General features: G+C 39.4%; 1 protein-coding gene across 4 annotated transcripts in view; it reads left to right on the top strand.

Moving 5' to 3' along the window:
- The window catches only part of MED13 (mediator complex subunit 13), a 122,674-nt gene that overhangs the window by 94,415 nt on the left and 7,083 nt on the right, over positions 1-21,176 (top strand). For 2 of the 4 annotated variants that reach the window (NM_005121.3, XM_011525553.4), the window contains 11 exons: positions 2,606-2,829; positions 4,213-4,402; positions 5,396-5,858; positions 7,893-8,112; positions 9,085-9,276; positions 9,774-9,997; positions 14,383-14,525; positions 15,026-15,184; positions 15,297-15,482; positions 17,751-17,899; positions 19,866-20,039. In NM_005121.3, coding sequence (NP_005112.2) covers positions 2,606-2,829; positions 4,213-4,402; positions 5,396-5,858; positions 7,893-8,112; positions 9,085-9,276; positions 9,774-9,997; positions 14,383-14,525; positions 15,026-15,184; positions 15,297-15,482; positions 17,751-17,899; positions 19,866-20,039 — 2,324 coding nt within the window. Of the gene's footprint in view, positions 1-2,605; positions 2,830-4,212; positions 4,403-5,395; positions 5,859-7,892; positions 8,113-9,084; positions 9,277-9,773; positions 9,998-14,382; positions 14,526-15,025; positions 15,185-15,296; positions 15,483-17,400; positions 17,427-17,750; positions 17,900-19,865; positions 20,040-21,176 lie in introns of those variants that run through there. The other 2 variants (XM_011525551.3, XM_011525552.3) reach the window with 2 other exon arrangements.

Raw genomic sequence — 21,176 nt, 5'->3', positions numbered from 1 at the left:
TTGTAGAGATGAGGTTTTGCCATGTTGCCCAGGCTGGTCTCCAACTCCTGGGCCCTAGTGATCTGCCCAACTCACCCTCCCAAAGGGCTAGGATTATAAGCACCCAGACGTGTATTTCAAGAAAAAAAAAAAAAAAACCTAAATAACTATCTGTAATGCCTTTTTTTTTTTTTTTTTTTTTTTTGAGACAGTCTCACTCTCTTGCCCAGACTGGAGTGCAGTGGCATGATCTTAGCTCACTGCACCCTCTGCCTCCCAGGTTCAAGCAGTTCTCATGCATCAGCCTCACGAGTAGCTGGGATTACAGGCATGCATTAACCACACCTGGCTAATTTTTGTATTTTTACTAGAGATGGGATTTTGCCATCTTGCCCAGTCTGTTCTTGAACTGCTTGCCTCAAGTGATCCACCTACCTAGGCCTCCCAAAGTGCTGAGATTACAGGCGTGAGCCACCATGCCCAGCCCCTGTAATATCAGTTTGAATTCCCACCAGTTAAAGTGCCTGTTTTCCCAAAGCCTTGCCTAGTAGGATGCTGATTCAGTGGATGAAAAATGGTTATTTCCCATTATAGTTTGAGAGATTAAATAGTACAGACTGTGGGGATAGATTTCTTGGGTTTAAATTCCTACTCTGCTACTTCTTGTGAAATGCTAGAGAAATTGCTTAACTTCCTCATTTATGTTTTCTCATCTCTAAAATGAAGTTAATAATAGTTTCTGCCTTATGTTTTTTGTGAGGATTAAATGAGTTAGTACATGCAAAGAGCTTTGAACAGTACCTAGCACATAGAATTATCATTGTTTGCTATTATTAATTTTAAATTGCTTTTTTAATGAGAAAGAGCATCTTTTTATGTGTTAGAGATAGTTTTGTTTTGTAATCTCCATGTTCTTAACCCATTTTTCTATTAGGTTGTTGGTCATTTTCTTTTAAAAATTTTTTTATTATGGTAAGAACACTCACCAGGCATGACGACTCACGCCTGTAATCCCAGCACTTTGGGAGGCCGAGGTGGGCAGATCACTTGAGGTCAGGAGTTTGAAACCAGCCTGGCCAACATGGTGAAACCCCATCTCTACCAAAAATTCAAAAATTATCCCGGTATGGTGATGTGTGCCTATAATCCCAGCTACTCAGGAGGCTGAGGTGAGATAATTGCTTGAACCCAGGAGGTGGAGGTTGGAGTGAGTGGAGATCGCACCACTGCACTGCAGCCTAGGCAACAGAGCAAGACTGTCTCAAAAACAAAACAAAAAAAAACTAAAAGAAAGAACACTTAACATGAGATCTGCGCTCTTAGTAAGGTTTTTTCTTTTTTCTATTTTTTAAATTATATTATTTTTAAATGTATAAATAAGGATGGTGTCTCACTATGTTGCCTAGGCCTCAAACTCCTGGGCTCAAGTAATCCTCCCACCTCAGTCTCCCAAGGTGCTGAGATTACAGGCATGAGCCACAGCACCTGGCCTACAGTGTATTTTTATGCCAATTTTTTGTTTGTTTGTTTTTGAGATGGAGTTTTGCTCTTTTTGCCTGGGCTGACGTGCACTGGTGCAATCTCAGCTCACCGCAACCTCCACCCCCTGGGTTCAAGCAATTCTGCTTCAGCCTCCTGAGTAGCTGGGATTACAGGCATGCACCACCATGCCCGGCTAATTTTGTATTTTTAATAGAGACAGGCTTTCTCCATGTTGGTCAGGCTGGTCTTAAACTCCCAGCCTCAGGTGATCTGCCCACCTCGGCCTCCCAAAGTGCTGAAATTACAGGTGTGAGCCACTGCACCCAGCCCCATGCCAAAAATTTAAATGCAGACCAGACGTGGTGGCTCCTGCACGTAATCCCAGCACTTTGGGAGGCTGAGGAAGGAGGATCACTTGAGCTCAGGAGTTTGAGTCCACCCTGGGCAACACAGCAAGATCCCATCTCTACAAAAACTTTAAAAATTAGCTAAGCATAGTGGCACACACCTGTAGTCCCAGCTATTCGGGAAGCTGAGGACAGAGGATTGCTTGAGCCCAGCAGGTTAATGCTGCAGTAAGGCGTGATTGTTCCACTGCAGTCTAATCTGGGCAATAGAGCAAGACCCTGTCTCAAAAAAATAAGTAAATAAAAAGACTTGTTTAGGAAATTCCTTAATGTTGAAAAGTCTTGACCACTGGCATTAAGTATTTTTGTCTCTAATAAAATATTTTCACTAATAATGACTTCATTAACTTTTGACATTTAAATAAAAAGGAGGCCGGGCATGGTGGCTCACACCTGTAATCCCAGCACTTTGGGAGGCCGAGGTGGGCGGACACAAGGTCAGGAGCTCGAGACCATCCTGGCTAACACGGTGAAACCTCGTCTCTACTAAAAAATACAAAAAATTAGCCAGGCGTGGTGGCAGGCACTTGCAGTCCCAGCTACTCAGGAGGCTGAGGCAGGAAAATGGCGTGAACGCGGGAGGCGGAGCTTGCAGTGAGCCGAGATGGCGCCACTGCACTCCAGTCTGGGCGACAGAGCGAGACTCTGTCTCAAAAAATAAATAAATAAATAAATAAATAAAAAGGAGACATGTCTTGTTTTTAAGTGTTTTCTTAAAATACATCTTTCTTATTTAGGAACTGATGAATCCCCAGAACCACTGCCAATCCCCACATTTTTGTTGGGTTATGATTATGATTATCTGGTGCTTTCTCCATTTGCTCTTCCTTATTGGGAGAGACTTATGCTGGAACCCTATGGATCTCAAAGAGATATAGCCTATGTTGTACTGTGTCCAGAAAATGAAGCCTTGTTAAATGGAGCAAAAAGCTTTTTTAGAGATCTTACTGCAATATATGAGGTAGGTGTTTAAAAAGAGATGACATTTTAAAACTACCTTACGATTTGTATTGTTGTATATACAGCATACTGGGCAGTTCAGTTGATTGGGACACAGTGATGATGTCAGATTAGATGTTTATTTCTCATACTAGCCAGTTACATTCTTTGCTGAGTTTGACCCAGTCTGTTAGATGTGTATGCCGTGGGTCAGAGTGGCTATCCCCCTATAGGAGGAAGAAACATTGAGGGCATATAGATATATATCCCTTTTAATGTGGCTTTTTCTAAAACAAAGGGTAACAATGTTAAATAGCCAGGAAAAAAGTTACATTTACAAAAATTCTAGTCTTTATTCTCTAGGATTTCAGGTAGTGACACTAGGCCTCACTTTCCTCATATGTAAAATAAATCTATGCTAGATATCACTAAGGTCCATTTCAGGTCTGAAATTCTTGCCTCTTCTTTTAAGTTATAATTCTCACATATCCATCACCAGGCGCAATAATTGTAAATTATAAGTGTTATGGGACATAAAGTCTTACTTTATTATTCCCTCCTTTTTCCACAAAGGCTTCGAAATTTAGTCTTTAAATTTTGATTCCTTATACAATCTGAATGTTAGTGTATGTTAGTTTAGCTTCCTTTTAAAATTTTCCACATAATTACAAGGTATTTGTAGTGTGTTTTTAATAAATAAACATTTCCCAAAGGGTGTTATTTGGAATATCAGTCCGGTAAAATCCTCTCAGAGAAAAAGTTCCATAGTTAAATAGGCTTGGGGAAACATTGTATATTATATTACCTTTTAGAGATTTACAATTCATATTAGGTTTTTAAAGGCTTTGAAATTCTTACAGTAAAGAACTCTTCTAAGTTTGCTTAATCCAATGTTTTAAATTTATTTAACATTGGGCTTCTAATAACAAAAATCAGTGACTCACAGAACTAGAGGGAGAAGGTGTATAAATATATTTGTATAACAATTTTTATTTTGCTTTGATTTAGGGATATTTGTATTCATAATTCATGAATTGGTGTTAATGTATACCTAAAATGACTGCATTTTTATGCTCACTTATGTCTGCATTCTGCAAGCTTTTATTCAAACAAAATGGTTCTAGTACTATTGTTATCTAGGTGTTTTTTCATTAGAGATATTTTAATTTTGAAAAAAAATTAATGAATTTCTAATGTAAAAATGAAAAAGACCTATGGCACCATTTCACCCTTGATATGTTTATTTTTTTGGCCTACTTCTAAAAACACCCTTGATATTTTTATCATAACTGTTAATTGCAAATGGTTAAGCTTATTTTAAGTAGCTTTCATGGTTGGTTTTATAATGTGTATCTAAATACAATAATAAATTTACTAATTCTGCTTTCTGTATGTATATTTGTAGTCCTGTCGATTAGGTCAACATAGACCTGTTTCTCGACTGTTAACAGATGGGATCATGAGAGTTGGATCTACTGCATCAAAGAAACTATCAGAAAAGTTGGTAGCAGAATGGTTTTCTCAGGCAGCTGACGGTAACAATGAAGCATTTTCTAAACTCAAGCTTTATGCACAAGTCTGCAGATATGACCTAGGTATTGAATTTGTATTTATTGTATAAGGCTGGTGTTAGCAAAATGTGGCCTGCTCCACCAGCTGTTTTTGTAGATAAAATTTTATTGGAACACAGCCATCCTCATTTATGTATTTTCTCTGGCTGCTTTTGTGCTACAACATTGGAGCTGAGTAGTTTTCATAGAGACTGTGTGGCTGCAAAGACAAAAATATTTATTATCTGACCCTTTACAGAACAAGTTTGCTGATCCCTAATGAGGGATCCCATCAGGTAGGAAGAAATTATGGGTTATAAATAAATTTTCTGTTGCCTCTGTAGGGTCTGATGTTTTAATAACTTGAAGATTCTTCATTTGTTACAGTTTAGAGATAAAATAATTTATAGTTAATCTCTACCAAACCAAGAAATAGTTCTTTGTTGTAGCTAAGAAAACGACAGCTGTTTAAGACTTGCTTGTTACATACTTTTTTTCTTTCATTCTACCCGTGCCTAACTGTATTGCTTATAAATACTCTTGAAAATAAAGATCAGTGGACTTCCTTTAGACTTAATCCAAAGAGATGCAGAACCAAAATATTGAATCTCATTAGACATTCCTATAATTTGAACCCCATAACATTATACCATTTTATATTTTAATTAGCTGTCAATGTAGTCAATATTTATTTGATTTGTGATTTAGAAACCCTTTGAATAGTTTGATGAATATTGCTAGATACCTTTTTTACATTTAATTATACTTAGAAAATAGAATTTTGTTACACTTTCATAGTAATCATTTCTTTAATTTTGAGTGAAAATTCTGGCTTTTTCAATTCCATTTTAAATATGTTTCTTCAGTCTCTAGGGGAAAATAGAAAGCAAGTGTAGGTCACACCATTAGCAAGCAATTTCGGGGCTATAATTACCAAGAAAACATCAACTGGATTATGATTCTGTTTACACAGTAGAATTTAAAAAAACCAGTCAGTGAAATAAAGAATTAAATTTCGTACCTGTTTTTATTCTTTAGGTCCTTATCTTGCTTCCCTGCCATTGGACAGCTCTCTACTTTCCCAGCCAAATTTAGTTGCCCCTACAAGTCAGTCTTTGATTACTCCACCTCAGATGACAAATACTGGAAATGCTAATACTCCATCTGCCACCTTAGCATCTGCAGCGAGCAGCACTATGACAGTGACTTCAGGTGTTGCCATATCTACTTCAGTTGCCACAGCTAATTCAACTTTGACCACAGCTTCAACTTCATCTTCATCATCCTCCAACTTGAATAGTGGAGTATCATCAAATAAACTACCTTCGTTTCCACCCTTTGGCAGTATGAACAGTAATGCTGCAGGATCCATGTCTACACAAGCAAATACAGTTCAGAGTGGTCAGCTAGGAGGGCAACAGACATCAGCTCTACAGACAGCTGGGATTTCTGGAGAATCATCTTCACTTCCCACTCAGCCGCATCCTGATGTGTCTGAAAGGTACCTTTAAAAATACTGATTTTTGCAGAAATATAAAAACTATGATGCTGCTTCTTTCTTTTTTTTTCTTGAGACACAGTCTCACTCTTTTGCGCAGGCTGTACTGCAGTGGTGGGATCTGCACTCACTGCAACCTCTGCCTCCCGAGTTCAAGTGATTCTCCTCCCTCAGCCTCCCTAGTAGCTGGAATTACAGGCATGTGCCACCACGCCTGGCTAATTTTTGTATTTTTAGTAGAGACAGGGTTTTGCCATGTTGACCAGGCTGGTCTCAAACTTCTGACCTCAGGTGATCCACCCACCATGGCTTCCCAAAGTGCTGGGATTACAGACGTGAGCCACCACGCCCAGCCATGCTGCTTTTTTTCTAAATAAGACGTTTTGAATGAGCATAAAGTGCTTTTTTATCTTAGTCTTGAAATTTTAGTTTGTATCTTTTTTTAAGACAAGGTCTCACTCTGTCACCCAGGCTGGAGTATAGTGGCGTGATCACGGCTCACTGCAGCCTCGACCTCCTGGGCTCAGGTGATCCTCCCACCTCAGCCTCCTGAGTAGCTGGGACTTACAGGCATGCACCACCATGCCCAGCTACTTTTTTGTAGAGATGTGGTTTCACCCTGTTGCCCTGGCTGGTCTGGAACTCTTGGACTCAGCAATCTGCCTGCCTCAGCCTCCCAAAGTGCTGGGATTACAGGCATGAGCTATCGCACCCGGCCTAGTGTTGAATATTTTATGTATAAAATTATAATGAGGACTTTACTTCATAAAGTATCATAGAATTCTAGAATCTGAGGGTGGGAATTAAGAGCTTGAAAACCATATAGTCCAGATACCCATATGACATTTGAGTCTTCTGTGGCATAATTGTCAAGTAGATTTGCCTGTGCAAATCACTCTGGTGATTGAGAAGTCACTATTGACCCACTCTATTTAGAGGCTTTAGAGTTGTACTGAGGTTTGAATCTCAGCTCTGCCATTTACCTGCTTTGTGACTTCGGGGAAACTCTAACTTTCTGAGCATGTTTTCTTATCTGTAAGATGAGAGTAATATGATATAATATACATTAAGTACTTTACACAGTGATTCCAAGTTATTTATAGTGACAAGAATGATTATGACAGCTCTCATTCCTTTTTTGATGAAGGTTTTGATCTTCCCTTTTGATTTATAGGCCAAGTTGGCCAGAGCTTAATTATATCTGTCAGCTACCCAGGATGCAGTTGTGCCCAAAATTATACTCATATGTGGGTAAAAACAAACCATTATCGAGATTGATACACTCATCTTGAACATATGAATAGATTTGAAGTGTAAAAAAATCAAATCACCCATCAAAGAATGAAACTTGTACACCATTGAAGCTGTAAAGTATGAAATAAATGTATATAGTCTAAAAATGGGACCAGGTGAAGTGGCTCATGCCTGTAATCCTAGCACTTTGAGAGGCTAAGGCAGGAGGGTTGCTTGAGACCAAGAGTTCAAGACCAACCTGGTCAACATAGTGAGACTCCCATCTCAAAAAAAAGATATATATATACACATATATAGAGAGAGAGAGTCTGAAAATGTACTAGAACATTAAATAAGTCTGGAAACGTGGTTTCTTTCTGGCCTAGCTCTACCTGTAGCCACCTTTATAAATTTGGTAAGCTATTTGAGATAGCCTCAGACAAAGAGACCTATCTTTGTCTCAGTTTTATCCCTTAAACTCTAAGCCATCTTTTGTATCTAATACCCTTACCCTATGGTTTTAAGAATTTTTTTTCTTTTCTTTCTTTTTTTTTTTTTTTTTTTTTTTTTTTTGGTAAATTTAAGGCAAGACCTCTTAAGGCAAGTGTCTTTATACACTGTGAAATTGTATGTACAATGTTTATGGTTCATTTTGGCGAGAAAGAAATGTCCTTCATTTTTAGAGAGGCTTTCTGACACCTTTCACCAAAAAAGAGGGAGGAGGGGGATATTAAGAACCTGCTTAGATGCTACCCCAAGCATATACAGTACAACTTTTTGTCTCATTTCTACCTTAAATTTTAGCACGATGGATCGGGATAAAGTGGGAATCCCCACAGATGGTGATTCACATGCAGTCACGTATCCACCTGCAATTGTTGTTTATATAATTGATCCTTTTACATACGAAAATACAGACGAGAGCACTAACTCTTCTAGTGTGTGGACATTGGGGCTACTTCGATGCTTTCTAGAAATGGTCCAGACTCTTCCTCCTCATATCAAGAGTACTGTTTCTGTACAGGTAAGAGTGATAGATGTTGTGAGTTAAAATTATGTAAAACAGTTTAATGTTGTCAGAAGTTTCAGATACTACTTTTCTGTATTCAAATTGATTATCTAAAAGCCAAGTTCTATTATATTGATTTTACTTTAATATCATAATATAAATCTTAGAGAATTTATAAAAGATAAACTTTATAGTCATATGACAGTAATAATACAGAATAAAAAAATTCCATTAAGTACATTAAATGTTTCTCCTGTGTTACTTTTATAAGCCAATTTTTAAATTCATGAGCCTAAATAGAAAAATGTAGCATGTACCTAAACAAGACAGGTTGCAAGAAAAGGAGAAAGCAATTAACCATATTAAGTTGTTAGAAGAAATTTTGAATTTATTTTATAGACTTCAACAGGACTAGTCAATGGCATTATTAATATAATTGTTATATAGAAAATTTTACAGTTTTTTGTTGTTGTTTTTTTTCTGAGACAGAGTCTCGCTCTGTCGCCAGACTGGAGTGCAGTGGCGTGATCTCGGCTCACTGCAACCTCCAGCTCCCAGGTTCAAGAGATTCTCCTGCCTCAGCCTCCTGAGTAGCTGGGACTACAGGCGCATGCCACCACACCCAGCTCATTTTTGTGTTTTTAGTAGAGACAGGGTTTCACCATGTTGGCCAGGATGGTCTCTATCTCTTGACCTGGTGATCTGCCCACCTCGGCCTCCCAAAGTGCTGGGATTACAGGTGTGAGCCACCACACCTGGCCAGAAAGTTTTATAGGTTTTAAATAGTCCTTTAATTCAGAACCCATTGGTAAAATTGGCTACTTATTAAAAGCCTACATAATAGATAAGAAAACAATCGTTAAATTTTCATTTAAATTAGGTTTTGTGTAAATTTTCTAGTAAAAAGTTTTTAGAGTTTTAGACCCACAGTTCCTGTTATTCTCTTTTGGAAGTTTAACATTTGTAATATTTGCCTATACTTCTTAGATTATTCCTTGTCAGTACCTGTTGCAACCTGTGAAGCATGAAGATAGAGAAATCTATCCCCAGCATTTAAAATCCCTGGCTTTTTCGGCCTTTACCCAGTGTCGGAGGCCACTTCCAACATCAACCAATGTGAAAACATTGACTGGCTTTGGTCCAGGTTTAGCCATGGAAACTGCCCTTAGAAGTCCTGATGTAAGTATATGTTTTTCATGACCGAAGTTCAATGACTATACATACCTTTTTTTTTTTTTTTTTTTTTTGAGATGGAGCCTTGCTTTGTCACCCAGGCTGGAGTGCAGTGGGGCAATCTCAGCTCACCACAACCTCTGCCTCCTGGGTTCAAGCGATTCTCCTGCCTCAGCCTCCTGAGTAGCTGGGATTACAGGCATGCGCCACCTTGCCCAGCTAATTTTGTGTGTGGGAGGAGTTTCACCATGTTGGCCAGGTTGGTTTCGAACTCCTGACCTCAGGTGATCGCCCACCTGTGCTTCCCAAAGTGCTGGGATTACAGGCACGAGCCACCGTGCCCTGCCAACATTTTTATGATACTATGCAAAACTAAGTGCAATTTTTGGCTTAGCTGTCATTTTCCAATTATCTTATAATTGGGTAGATAAGAATTACATTTTAAATGCAATATTTCTCTAAGATTGTATAGTATGATAATACCTTAATTTTTTATTTTATAGAGACCAGAGTGTATTCGACTTTATGCACCTCCTTTTATTCTGGCTCCAGTGAAGGACAAACAGACAGAGCTAGGAGAAACATTTGGAGAAGCTGGACAGAAATATAATGTTCTTTTTGTGGGATACTGTTTATCACATGATCAAAGGTGGATTCTTGCATCTTGCACAGATCTATATGGAGAACTTTTAGAAACTTGTATCATTAACATCGATGTTCCAAATAGGTATTTGTATTTCCCTAAATATATCATATCATTCCATTTGTAACATTTTGTTTCATTTTTAATGAATAGAAAACCAGTTTGAAGGTTTTATATATATTAAAATATTAAGATGTGGGGTTGTGGGTGCTTTTTACTTTTTTCTTTAGTGAATGTTTATATTGTATAACTAACATAATTAAAAATAATTTTGATTAATCTATTATATGAACAAAAAAGATTAAGGTCACTAACTTCTGTGTCATAAAGCTTGAGGCAATTATTTTAGCTGAACATTTTTGAAAGATGTAAAAAAATGGTCTAGTAAAGTATCTATAGAACATTTAAACTTTTCTCATGTACCATCTAAGATATAGCCCCTAATAAACTGAGTAAGTTAACTTCATTTACTAAAATTGGCGATTTAAAATTTTATCATTTAAATGTTAGGATGTAGCCGGGTGTGGTGGTGGTTGCCTATAATCCCAGCTACTCAGGAGGCTGAGGCAGGAGAATCACTTGAATCTCTGGGAGGCGGAGGTTGCAGTGAGCCAAGATCACGCCATTGCATTCCAGCCTGAGTGACAAGAATGAGACTCTGTCTCAAAAAAAAAAAAAGTTTGGTTGTCTTCAGAATATGATGACCATTTTAGAATTCTTGGCAGTAAATATCACGCCCAGTTATTTACGAAGGATATAACTAATAGGTCACAACAGGTGAGCCTCATTTTGAGTTATCACTTAATAAACATTTCAAGCCTTTAGTAGAGACTTGAAACATGTTTTCAAGGCTAGTGAACGCTGTACAGGAGAACCTGAAAAGCAAATTCGTGAAATGATTTTTAGTTTTAAGATTTGGGTTCTGGCCAGACGTGGTGGCTCCTGCTTGTAATCCCAGCACTTTGGGAGGCTGAGACAAGGCGGATCACTTGAGTCCAGGAGTTCGAGACCAGCCTGGGCAACATGGCGAAACCCCGTCTCTACAAAAATACAAATATTAGCTGGGCATAGTGGCCCACCTGTAGTCACAGCTACTCGGGAGACTGAGGCAGAAGGATCACTTGAGCCCAGGAAGTCGAGGCTGCAGTGAGCTGAGATTGCACCACTGCACTTTAACGTGGGCGACAGAGTAAGACCCTGTCTCAAAAAAAAAAAAAAAAAAAAGATTTGGGTTCTATCGTTTATTTTCTTCCTTATTATATAAAAGCTTGTTTTTTAGGTGAGAAGTTAAATATATGCAGAAATATCTAATGATTATTAGGTCTTTAATGGTGCTGGGGAAGCAGAAGATAGAAACATTAATTTTATATTATTGATTATAAACATTAACAAGTATGTTAAGCTTTATATTATAAACCTTAGAACAGTGCTTCGTATCTTATTTCCTTGATACAATTTTGATTTTTTTAATTGGATATTTATACTGATTAAGTGAACTCGGGAAAGAATATGCTAATCTGTGAAGTATGAGAAAGTAGAGAAAAAAAATACCACCCTTTTCATTATCAAAATAGTATTATCATTTTACTACCTTGATAAAGTAGAAGTGAGATAATGGTTAAGAGGGGCAATGATGGGGCTGGGCATGGTGACTCATGCCTCTAATCTCAGCACTTTGGAGGCCAAGGCAGGTGGATCACCTGAGGTCAGGAGTTCGAGACCAGCCTGACTGACATGGTGAAACCCTGACTCTACTAAAAATACTAAAAATACAAAAAAATTAGCCAGGCATGGTGGCATATGCCTTTAATCCCAGCTACTTGGGAGGCTGAGGCAGGAGAATCACTTGAACCCAGGAGGCGGAGGTTGCAGTGAGCCGAGATTGTGCTATTGCACTCTAGCCTGGGCATCAAGAGCGAAAGTCTGTCTTAAAGAAAAAAAAAAAAGAGGGGCAGTGATGGAGTCAGAGAGACCTGGGCTCAAATCCCAAACCTGCCACTACTGACCTTGGAAAAACTACCCTTATGCAGCTGAGATACAGCTTACTTATCTGTAAAGTCTAGAGGATAATTTTATTTGTCTCATAGAGTTGTTAGGATGAAATGAGGTATTACATGTAAATTGATTGGGCACAATGGATGGTACATAGTAAGTGCTCAGTAAGTCATAGCCACTGTTGGCTGGGCACGGTTGCTTATGCCTGTAATCCCAACACTTTGGGAGGGCAAGGTGGGCGGATCACCTGAGGTCAGGAGTTTGAGACCAGCCTGGCCAACATAATGAAACCCCGTCTATACTAAAAATACAAAAATTAGGCCTCGCATGGTGGCTCACGCCTGTAATCCCAGCACTTTGGGAGGCCAAGGTGGGCAGGTCACGAGGTCAAGAGATCAAGACCATCCTGGCCAACATGCTGAAACCCTGTCTCTACTAAAAATACAAAAATTAGCTGGGTGTGGTCGTACACGCCTGTAGTCCCAGCTACTTGGGAGGCTGAGGCAGGAGAATCCCTTGAACCCAGGAAGCGAAGGTTGCAGTGAGCCGAGATCACACCACTGCACTCCAGCCTGGCAACAGAGCGAGACTCTTGTCTCAAAAATAACCAAAAAACAAAAATTAGTGGGGTGTGGTCGCACGCGCCTGTAGTCCCAGCTACTCAGGAGGCTGAGGCGGGAGAATAGCTTGAACCCAGGAGGTGGAAATTGCCATGAGCCGAGACCATACCATTGCACTCTAGCCTGGGTGATAGAGTTAGACTCCGTGTCAAAAAAATAATAAGTAATAGCCAGCTGGGCGCGGTGGCTCACGCCTGTAATCCCAGCACTTTGGGAGGCCGAGGCGGGCGGATCACAAGGTCAGGAGATCGAGACCATCCTGGCTAACACAGTGAAACCCCATCTCTACTAAAAATACAAAACATTAGCTGGGCGTAGTGGCGGGCGCCTGTAGTCCCAGCTACTCGGGAGGCTGAGGCAGGAGAATGGCGTGAAATCAGGAGGCGGAACTTGCAGTGAGCTGAGATCGCACCACTGCACTCCAGCCTGAGTGACAGAGTGAGACTCCGTCTCAAAAGAAAAAAAAGTAATAGCCACTGTTGCTCAGCCAAAGAGTGCTTATGTTGCATATTTGGCTAGTGAAGGACATGTATGCAGAAAACATGTAACAATGTTGTTTGGACTGAGAAGTGTGGTGTTTTGGTCAGTCTTCAACTTATAGTATAGAACAGGGATTGCTTACTGCAGCCCATGGACCAAATCTGGCTATTTCCATTTGAAGTATTGGCTCTTTAAAAAAAGTTTGCTGGGTCAAGCAGGGTGGCTCACGCCTGTAATCCTAGCACTTTGTGAGGCCAAGGCGGGCGGATCACGAGGTCAGGAGTTCTAGACCAGCCTGGCCAAGATAGTGAAACCCCATCTCTACTAAAAATACAAAAATTAGCCGGGTGTGGTGGCGGGCGCCTGTAATCCCAGCTACTCGGGAAGCTGAGGCAGGAGAATCACTTGAACCCAGGAGGCGGAGGTTGCAGTGAGCAGAGATCATGCCACTGCACTCTAGCCTAGGCGACAGAGCAAGACTCCGTCTCAAAAAAAAAAATAAAAAGTTTACTGGGCCAGGCGCAGTGGCTCATGTCTGTAATCTCAACACTTTGGGATGCTGAGACAGGATCACCTGAGGTCGGGAGTTGAGACCAGCCTGGCCAACATGGTGAAACCCCCTCTCTGCTAAAAATACAAAAATTAGCTAGACGTGGTGGTGTGTGCCTGTAATCTCAGCTGCTCGGAAGGCTGAGGCAGGAGAATCACTTGAGCCCGGGAGGCAGAGGTTGCAGTGAGCCGAGATTGTGCCACTGCACTCCAGCCTGGGCGACAGAGTGAGACTCCATCAAAAAAACAAAAAATCCCTGGCGTAGAGCAGTATTGCTGATGAATTGAGGTGTTTTATAGACAAATTTTTTTAAAAATTTATATATTATAATGTGAAATAGAAAAGCAAACTCAGATGCCAAACCTATGATTTTATGAATATTCTCGCTTAGGACTTACGTAAAGGTTTTGTGAAGCACTAAAATTAAGGAGATCTGTTTTTCACAAATTTGAGCTCTCTTAAAATGTCGGGATGGCACGGTGGCTCACACCTGTAATCCAGCACTTTGAGGGGACGAGGCAGGCAGATCACGAGGTCAGGAGCTCGAGACCATCCTGGCTAACGCGGTGAAACCCCGTCTCTACTAAAAATACAAAAAATTAGCTGGGTGTGTTGGCACACACCTGTAGTTGTAGCTATTCATGAGGCTGAGGCAGGAGAATCACTTAAACCCGTGAAGGTGGAGGTTGCAGTGAGCCGAGATCGCACCACTGCACTCCATCCAGCCTGGGTGACAGAGTGAGACTCCATCTCAAAAAAACAACAACAGCAAAATCATATAAATTTTAGAAATATTTATGACACTCTCTTTATTCACACAATAGGGCTCGTCGGAAAAAAAGTTCTGCTAGAAAATTTGGTCTACAGAAACTTTGGGAGTGGTGCTTAGGACTTGTACAAATGAGTTCATTGCCATGGAGAGTTGTAATTGGTCGTCTAGGAAGGATTGGTCATGGAGAATTGAAAGGTAAAATTGTGCTTTTATTAGTATTTATATTTCCGTTTTATGTAAATTCACACACAGTTCTGACCACGTCTAGGTATATATGTTGAATAAAATGCAAAGGTTATCAAATAAGGAACCACATATGTCTAGGCCACAAATGGCTTAATTCAAATTTTAAAAAGACATTTTACTCTTATTTTAACTTTAATATCAGTCTTATTACTGCTGTTCTTAATTGTTTTCTGTTTTTTCCACTTTCTGATTGTTATTTAACTCATCCTCTGTTGAGCAGATACCAATTGAATTTGGTGTATCCTAATATTAGGGGGATAAAGAATGTTCAGTAGCATCAGCAGTAAGAATTTTGGCTTGATGATGACTCGTGTTGGAGGAATACACTAATTTAAAAGCCATTAACTATTTTTATATTTTAACTTTAACTTGGTTCTACAGGATATTAATAATGCTGTTACTTTGATTTTTTTTTTTTTTTTTTTTTTTTTTACTGTTGATACCCACAGATTGGAGCTGTTTGCTGAGTCGTCGAAACTTGCAGTCTCTAAGTAAAAGGCTCAAAGACATGTGTAGAATGTGTGGTATATCTGCTGCAGACTCCCCTAGCATTCTCAGTGCTTGCTTGGTGGCAATGGAGCCGCAAGGCTCTTTTGTTATTATGCCAGGTTAGCTATCTTTAGTTTATATCAGATTTAATTCTTTATGCAGTTAAGTTTTTAAGTATTATATACAATTTATTCTTCGTTTATTAAAAGAAAAAATGTCTTTCATTTTCAGATTCTGTGTCAACTGGTTCTGTATTTGGAAGAAGCACGACTCTAAATATGCAGACATCTCAGCTAAATACCCCACAGGATACATCATGTACTCATATACTTGTGTTTCCTACTTCTGCTTCTGTGCAAGTAGCTTCAGCTACTTATACCACTGAAAATTTGGATTTAGCTTTCAATCCCAACAATGGTACGTAATTTGTTCCATTTTGGTAGTCTGAAGAATACCCCCCAAAATAAATTCATGTCCAATACCTGAAACGTGTGAATGTTACCTTGTTTTACCAAAAAATGATTTTGCAGATGTGATAAGTTAAGGATCTTGAGATGGAGAGATTATCCTCAATTACGCAGGTGGGCCCTTAATGCGATAACATGTGTTCTTATAAGAAGGAGGCAGAAGGAGGTTTGACTACATAGAAGAGAAGAAAGCCATGTGGTGGAAACAGTGGGAAGCAAAGTCAAAGGGAGAAGATGCTATGTTGCTGACTTTGAAGATGGTGAAAGAGCCCATGAGCCAAAGAATATAGTTCTAGACTCTGAAAAAGACAAGGAAACAGATTATCCCTTTCAGCCTTGCCAACATCCTGATTGCAGTCCAACGAAACTGATTTCAGACTTCTGGCCTCCAGAACTGTAAGAAAATAAATATGTGTTGTTTTTAAGCCAACAGTTTGTGGTAACTTATTAAAGTGGCAACAGGAAACTAATACAATCATTCTTTCACCTTGTTGATATCAGAACTGGTGCTGTGAATTATCCCATAAATCTTTACTTTTTAAAAATTTTTTGAGACAGAGTCTCACTCACTCTGTCTCCCAAGCTGGAGTGCAGTGGTACGATCTCAGCCTACTGTAGCCTTCACCTCCTGGGTTCAAGCGATGCTCGTGCCTCAGCTTCTCGAGTAGCTGGGATTGCAGGCACATGCCACCATGCCTGGCTAATTTTTGTATTTTTGGTAGAGATGGGGTTTCACCATGTTGGCCAGGCTGGTCTCAAACTCCTGACCTCAAATGATCCACCCACCTTGGCCTCCCAAAGTGCGGGGATTATAAACATGAGCCACCATGCCCAGCCATCTTTACTTATTTTAAAAGGCAATAGTTGGTCACAAAATATTTGTATAGGTTTACCCTTGTGCTTTTGAGGTACCTGTACATGAACTCATTTTATATATCTCTTATGTTGATTTGCCAAAATAATGTAATTTATATAAACTGCCAAAGTAGGGACGTAGCTTTTCCAGGTGAATTTATAGATTGCATTTTAGTAGAAGAGAAAATAAAGAAGATTTTATTGTTATTCTGAGCTACCTTAAAAACTCTCACATCTCTAAAGTCACAAGTATGGTTATTATGCTCTCTTGTTTTCGTGTGTTATATAATAACTCGAATATTTTACTTAATAAAGAACATGGTATTATTCGTAAATACAGTAATCCTCCTTATCTTTGGTTTTGCTTTACATGATTTCAGTTGCCCATGGGTACAGTACAATAAGATAGTTTGAAAGAGAGAGAGAGAGACCACATTCACATACCTTTTATTATAGTACCTTGCTATAATTGTTCTAATATTCTCGTTGTTAATCTCTTACTGTACCTAATTTATCATTGAAACTCCATCATAGGTGTGTACGTAAAGGAAAAACCAGTATATAGGATTTGGTACTATCCTTGGTTTCAGGAATCTATGTGGGTATGGGGGTGGGTCTTGGGACATATTCCCCATGGATAAGGGGGAATACTGTAGTCCCACTTTAAACACATTTTCATTTTGTTTGTACTATGTTTGCTTTGTATTAGTTTCCTATTGCTGCTCTAACAAAGTACTACACATTTAGTGGCTTAAAACAACACGCATTTATTTTATCTTACAGTTCTGGAAGTCAGAAGTCCAAAATCAGTCTCACTGGGCCAAAGTCAAAATATCAGCAGGATTGATTACTTTCTGGAGGTCCTAAGGGAAAATGTTTCCTTGCCTTTGTCAGTTTCTACAGGCTACTTGCATTCCTTGGCTCATGGTCCCTTCCTCTATCCTGGATGCCAGCAGTATAGTGTCATCACATCTCCTTCACTGGCTCTAACCCTACTGCCTCCCTCTTATTAGGACCCCTGTGATTACATTGGACCCACCCGGATAATCCAGAATAATCTCCCCATCTCAAGATCCTTAGCTTGATCACATCTGCAAAGTCTTTTATGGTAACATATTCTTAGATTCCTGGGATTAGGATGTGGACATCTTTGGGGGGCCATTATTCAGACTACCACATGCTTGTTTATGCATAATTATTTGTACGGCTTTTAGCACAATACTTGGCACATGGTAGACACTCAGTAAATGTTGGTTAAATTAACCCATTTTGGTTAAAATTTCATTTATTTTGACCCTTTCCTGTGAATGACCATAGGATATGGAAAATGGAGTTTTAAATTTCTTTTCTTTCTCCTGTTTAGATGGAGCAGATGGAATGGGTATCTTTGATTTGTTAGACACAGGAGATGATCTTGACCCTGATATCATTAATATCCTTCCTGCTTCTCCAACTGGTTCTCCTGTACATTCTCCAGGATCTCATTACCCCCATGGAGGTGATGCGGGCAAGGTAACTGTGTTACAAGTTTTAGTTTTTCTCGGCCGGGCGCAGTGGCTTACGCCTAAAATCCCAGCACTTTGGGAGGGCGAAGCAGGTGGATCACGAGGTCAGGAGTTTGAGACCAGCCTGGCCAATATGGTGAAACCCCATCTCTACTAAAAATGTAAAAAATAGCCGGGTAAGGTGGCACGCACCTGTAGTCCCAGCTACTCAGGAGGATGAGGCAAGAGAATCACTTGAACCTGGGAGGCAGAGGTTGTAGTGAGCCGAGATCATCCAATTGCCATTCCTTAACTTAGTAATGGATTAATATATGAAATGCAATACTATTTTTCCTTGGAAATTAGCAAGAGTTGAGATTAATTAACAGTACATTCATGCATTTCTACATCATGGACATCAGTACTTTGAATTGCACATTTTTAAGAGAATCTCTAAGGCTCTACTTTCCCTGAATCCGTATTTTCTAGACCATTTGGCATTAGTCATTTTTTTGTAGTTTTTGTGGCAGTTCACCATAGCTTTTTACTCAGATGTAGGATCACAGTATCTTTCAGAATCACTATATATAACTCTAAGAGCAGCCATTCATATCAGGGCTGTGACAAGGAATATAATAAAAATATTAATTTTCTCATAAGACCAGATAAAACACTGACCATCTACTCCCCCTTTTTATCTTTAGCAGTTATGGAAGCAGGCTGTCTTGTCCTTATATTTGAAGTAAAAACGAACTGGGCTTCAGTTAATAACACCTCTCTATTTGAAATTATATATACTGGGCTGGGCGCGGTGGCTCACGTCTGTAATCCCAGCACTTTGGGAGGCTGAGGCAGGCGGATCACGAGGTCAGGAGATTGAGACCATCCTGGCTAACACAGTGAAACCCCATCTCTACTAAAAATACAAAACTTAGCCAGGTGTGGCAGGCGTCTGTACTCCCAGCTACTCAGGAGGCTGAGACAGGAGAATGGTGTGAACCCGGGAGGTGGAGCTTGCAGTGAGCCGAGATCGCACCACTGCATTCCAGCCTAAGCGACAGAGCGAGACTCCATCTCAAAAAAAAAGAAAAGAAATTATATATACTGGTGATTTGATTATTGTAGTATGCATAGGTATAAAATTTACCCTTTTAAAGTAAGGAAGGATCTTTCCAGTCTTACTTTGCATTCCTTCCTCCTTTTTGTAACTGCAAAGAAATTAGATAGGAAATACATATAACAAAAAGCACCAGTAATCCCACCACCTTAATAAAACCATTTTTACTTTTAAGCAAATTATCTTCTTTCCACATACGTTTATGTTGCAATTTTCAATAAGTATAATGAGGTTTTAAATATTGCATTTTTGCTATACCCTAATTTATGTCCTTCCCAAAATATTGGACATGTAAGATTTTTTTTTGTTATAGATAATGATGTAATGAACGTTTTCATGCATATTATTTTTATTTTATCTATTTTTAAATACCAAGAAATACATTAACTAATCCAAAGGATATGCATGTGACTTGGTAGTTGTCCCTTCATGTTGCCATAATAATTTTCACAACACTATTAACTGCATTTTATAGATAGTGCTAGATTAACAAAGCTAAATTGAATCCACCTTTTGATTGGGGTGTGGTTTTCAGGACTTAAAGGAATATTAGCAAAAAAGTTAAAGATGTCATTGAAAATTTTGTATTTTTTACTCATCTGTGAAGTTTTACAAACTTTCCCGTGAACTTGGCATAATAATACAGACTTGTTAAACAGTTGGCATATCATGCAATCCTTAAAATATGTTCTATTAATGCTTTTACTTATAATACTCCTAAGTACATAGAAACTGGTTTTTTTTCAATATCCTTCAGTATTTTATTAAATCGATGTCATAAGATAATGAGACTGATTGCTATGAGCCATTCTGTGTTTATATCTGGTACTTAGTTACACTGAGTGAACTAATATACTTTTAATTTTGTCTTTTTAAGGGTCAGAGTACTGATCGGCTACTATCAACAGAACCTCATGAGGAAGTACCTAATATTCTTCAGCAACCATTGGCCCTTGGTTACTTTGTATCAACTGCCAAAGCAGGTCCATTACCTGACTGGTTCTGGTCAGCATGTCCTCAAGCACAATATCAGTGTCCCCTTTTTCTTAAGGTATTGCCATTTCTGTCCCAGTTCCTAAATAATTCTGATTGACAGCCTAAGTCCTGAGAAATATAGAAGTGGCTTTTTTAAGTCTTATAGCTTGTCTAAGTTCTTAAATGCACTGCCATATGTGACTCTTTAAACAAGATCACGAAGGCACGGTGGCTCACGCCTGTAATGCCAGCACTTTGAGAGGCCGAGGCAGGCAGATTACCTCAGGTCAGGAGTTTGAGACCAGCCTGGCCAACATGGCGAAACCTCGTCTCTACTGAAAATACAAGAATTAGCCAGGTGTGGTGGCGGGCGCCTGTAGTCCCAGCTACTCGGGAGGCTAAGGCAGGAGAATCGCTTGAACCTGGGAGGCAGAGGTTGCAGTGAGCCGAGATCGTACCACTTCACTCCAGCCTGGGTGACAATATCTGAGACTCTGTCTCAAAAAAAAAAAAAACAACTAGTTTTTAAATTTATATTTTTAGAACTTTATTCCTAAGTCAAACTCCTAGGGCCCTTGTTGTTAGTGTAGATTGAGTATCCCTTATTCGAAATGCTTGGGACCAGAATTGTTTCCATTTTTGGATTTTTTCAAATTGGAGATGCTCAATCTGTTTCAACTGCATATATGGAAATTTAGAGCTGAGAGAAACTTTATATTACCTCTGTCTAACCTTCTCATTTTCTAGGTGAGCATATTTAAGTTCAGAAAAACTCACCTGTTTAAAGTCATAAATTGGTAATAGACTCAAGACTGAAACCTGGGTCTTTTAATGATTATTATGTTATTCTTTGAATTACATCATACTGCACTGCTGTTATGCTGCATTATTTTGGGGAATAAAAGATTTATAATCTTGGGCTGGGCGCAGTGGCTCATGCCTGTAATCCCAGCACTTTGGGAGGCTGAGGCAGGTGGATCACAAAGTCAGCAGTTTGAGACCAGTCTGGCCAACATGGTGAGACCCCGTTTCTACTAAAACTACAAAAAAATTAGCCAGGCGTGGTGGCACGTGCAAATTAGCTATTTGGGAGACTGAGGCAGGAGAATCACTTGAACCCGGCAGGTAAAGGTTGCAGTGAGCCGAGATCGCGCCACTGCACTCCAGCCTGGGTGACAGAGTGAGATTCCATCTCAAAACAAACAAACAAAAA

Source organism: Homo sapiens, chromosome 17, assembly GCF_000001405.40.
Source record: "Homo sapiens chromosome 17, GRCh38.p14 Primary Assembly".
Taxonomy (NCBI): Eukaryota; Metazoa; Chordata; class Mammalia; order Primates; family Hominidae; genus Homo; species Homo sapiens.
The sequence above is the reverse complement of the archived record's forward strand: the minus strand, read 5'-3'. Positions and strand labels throughout refer to the sequence as shown.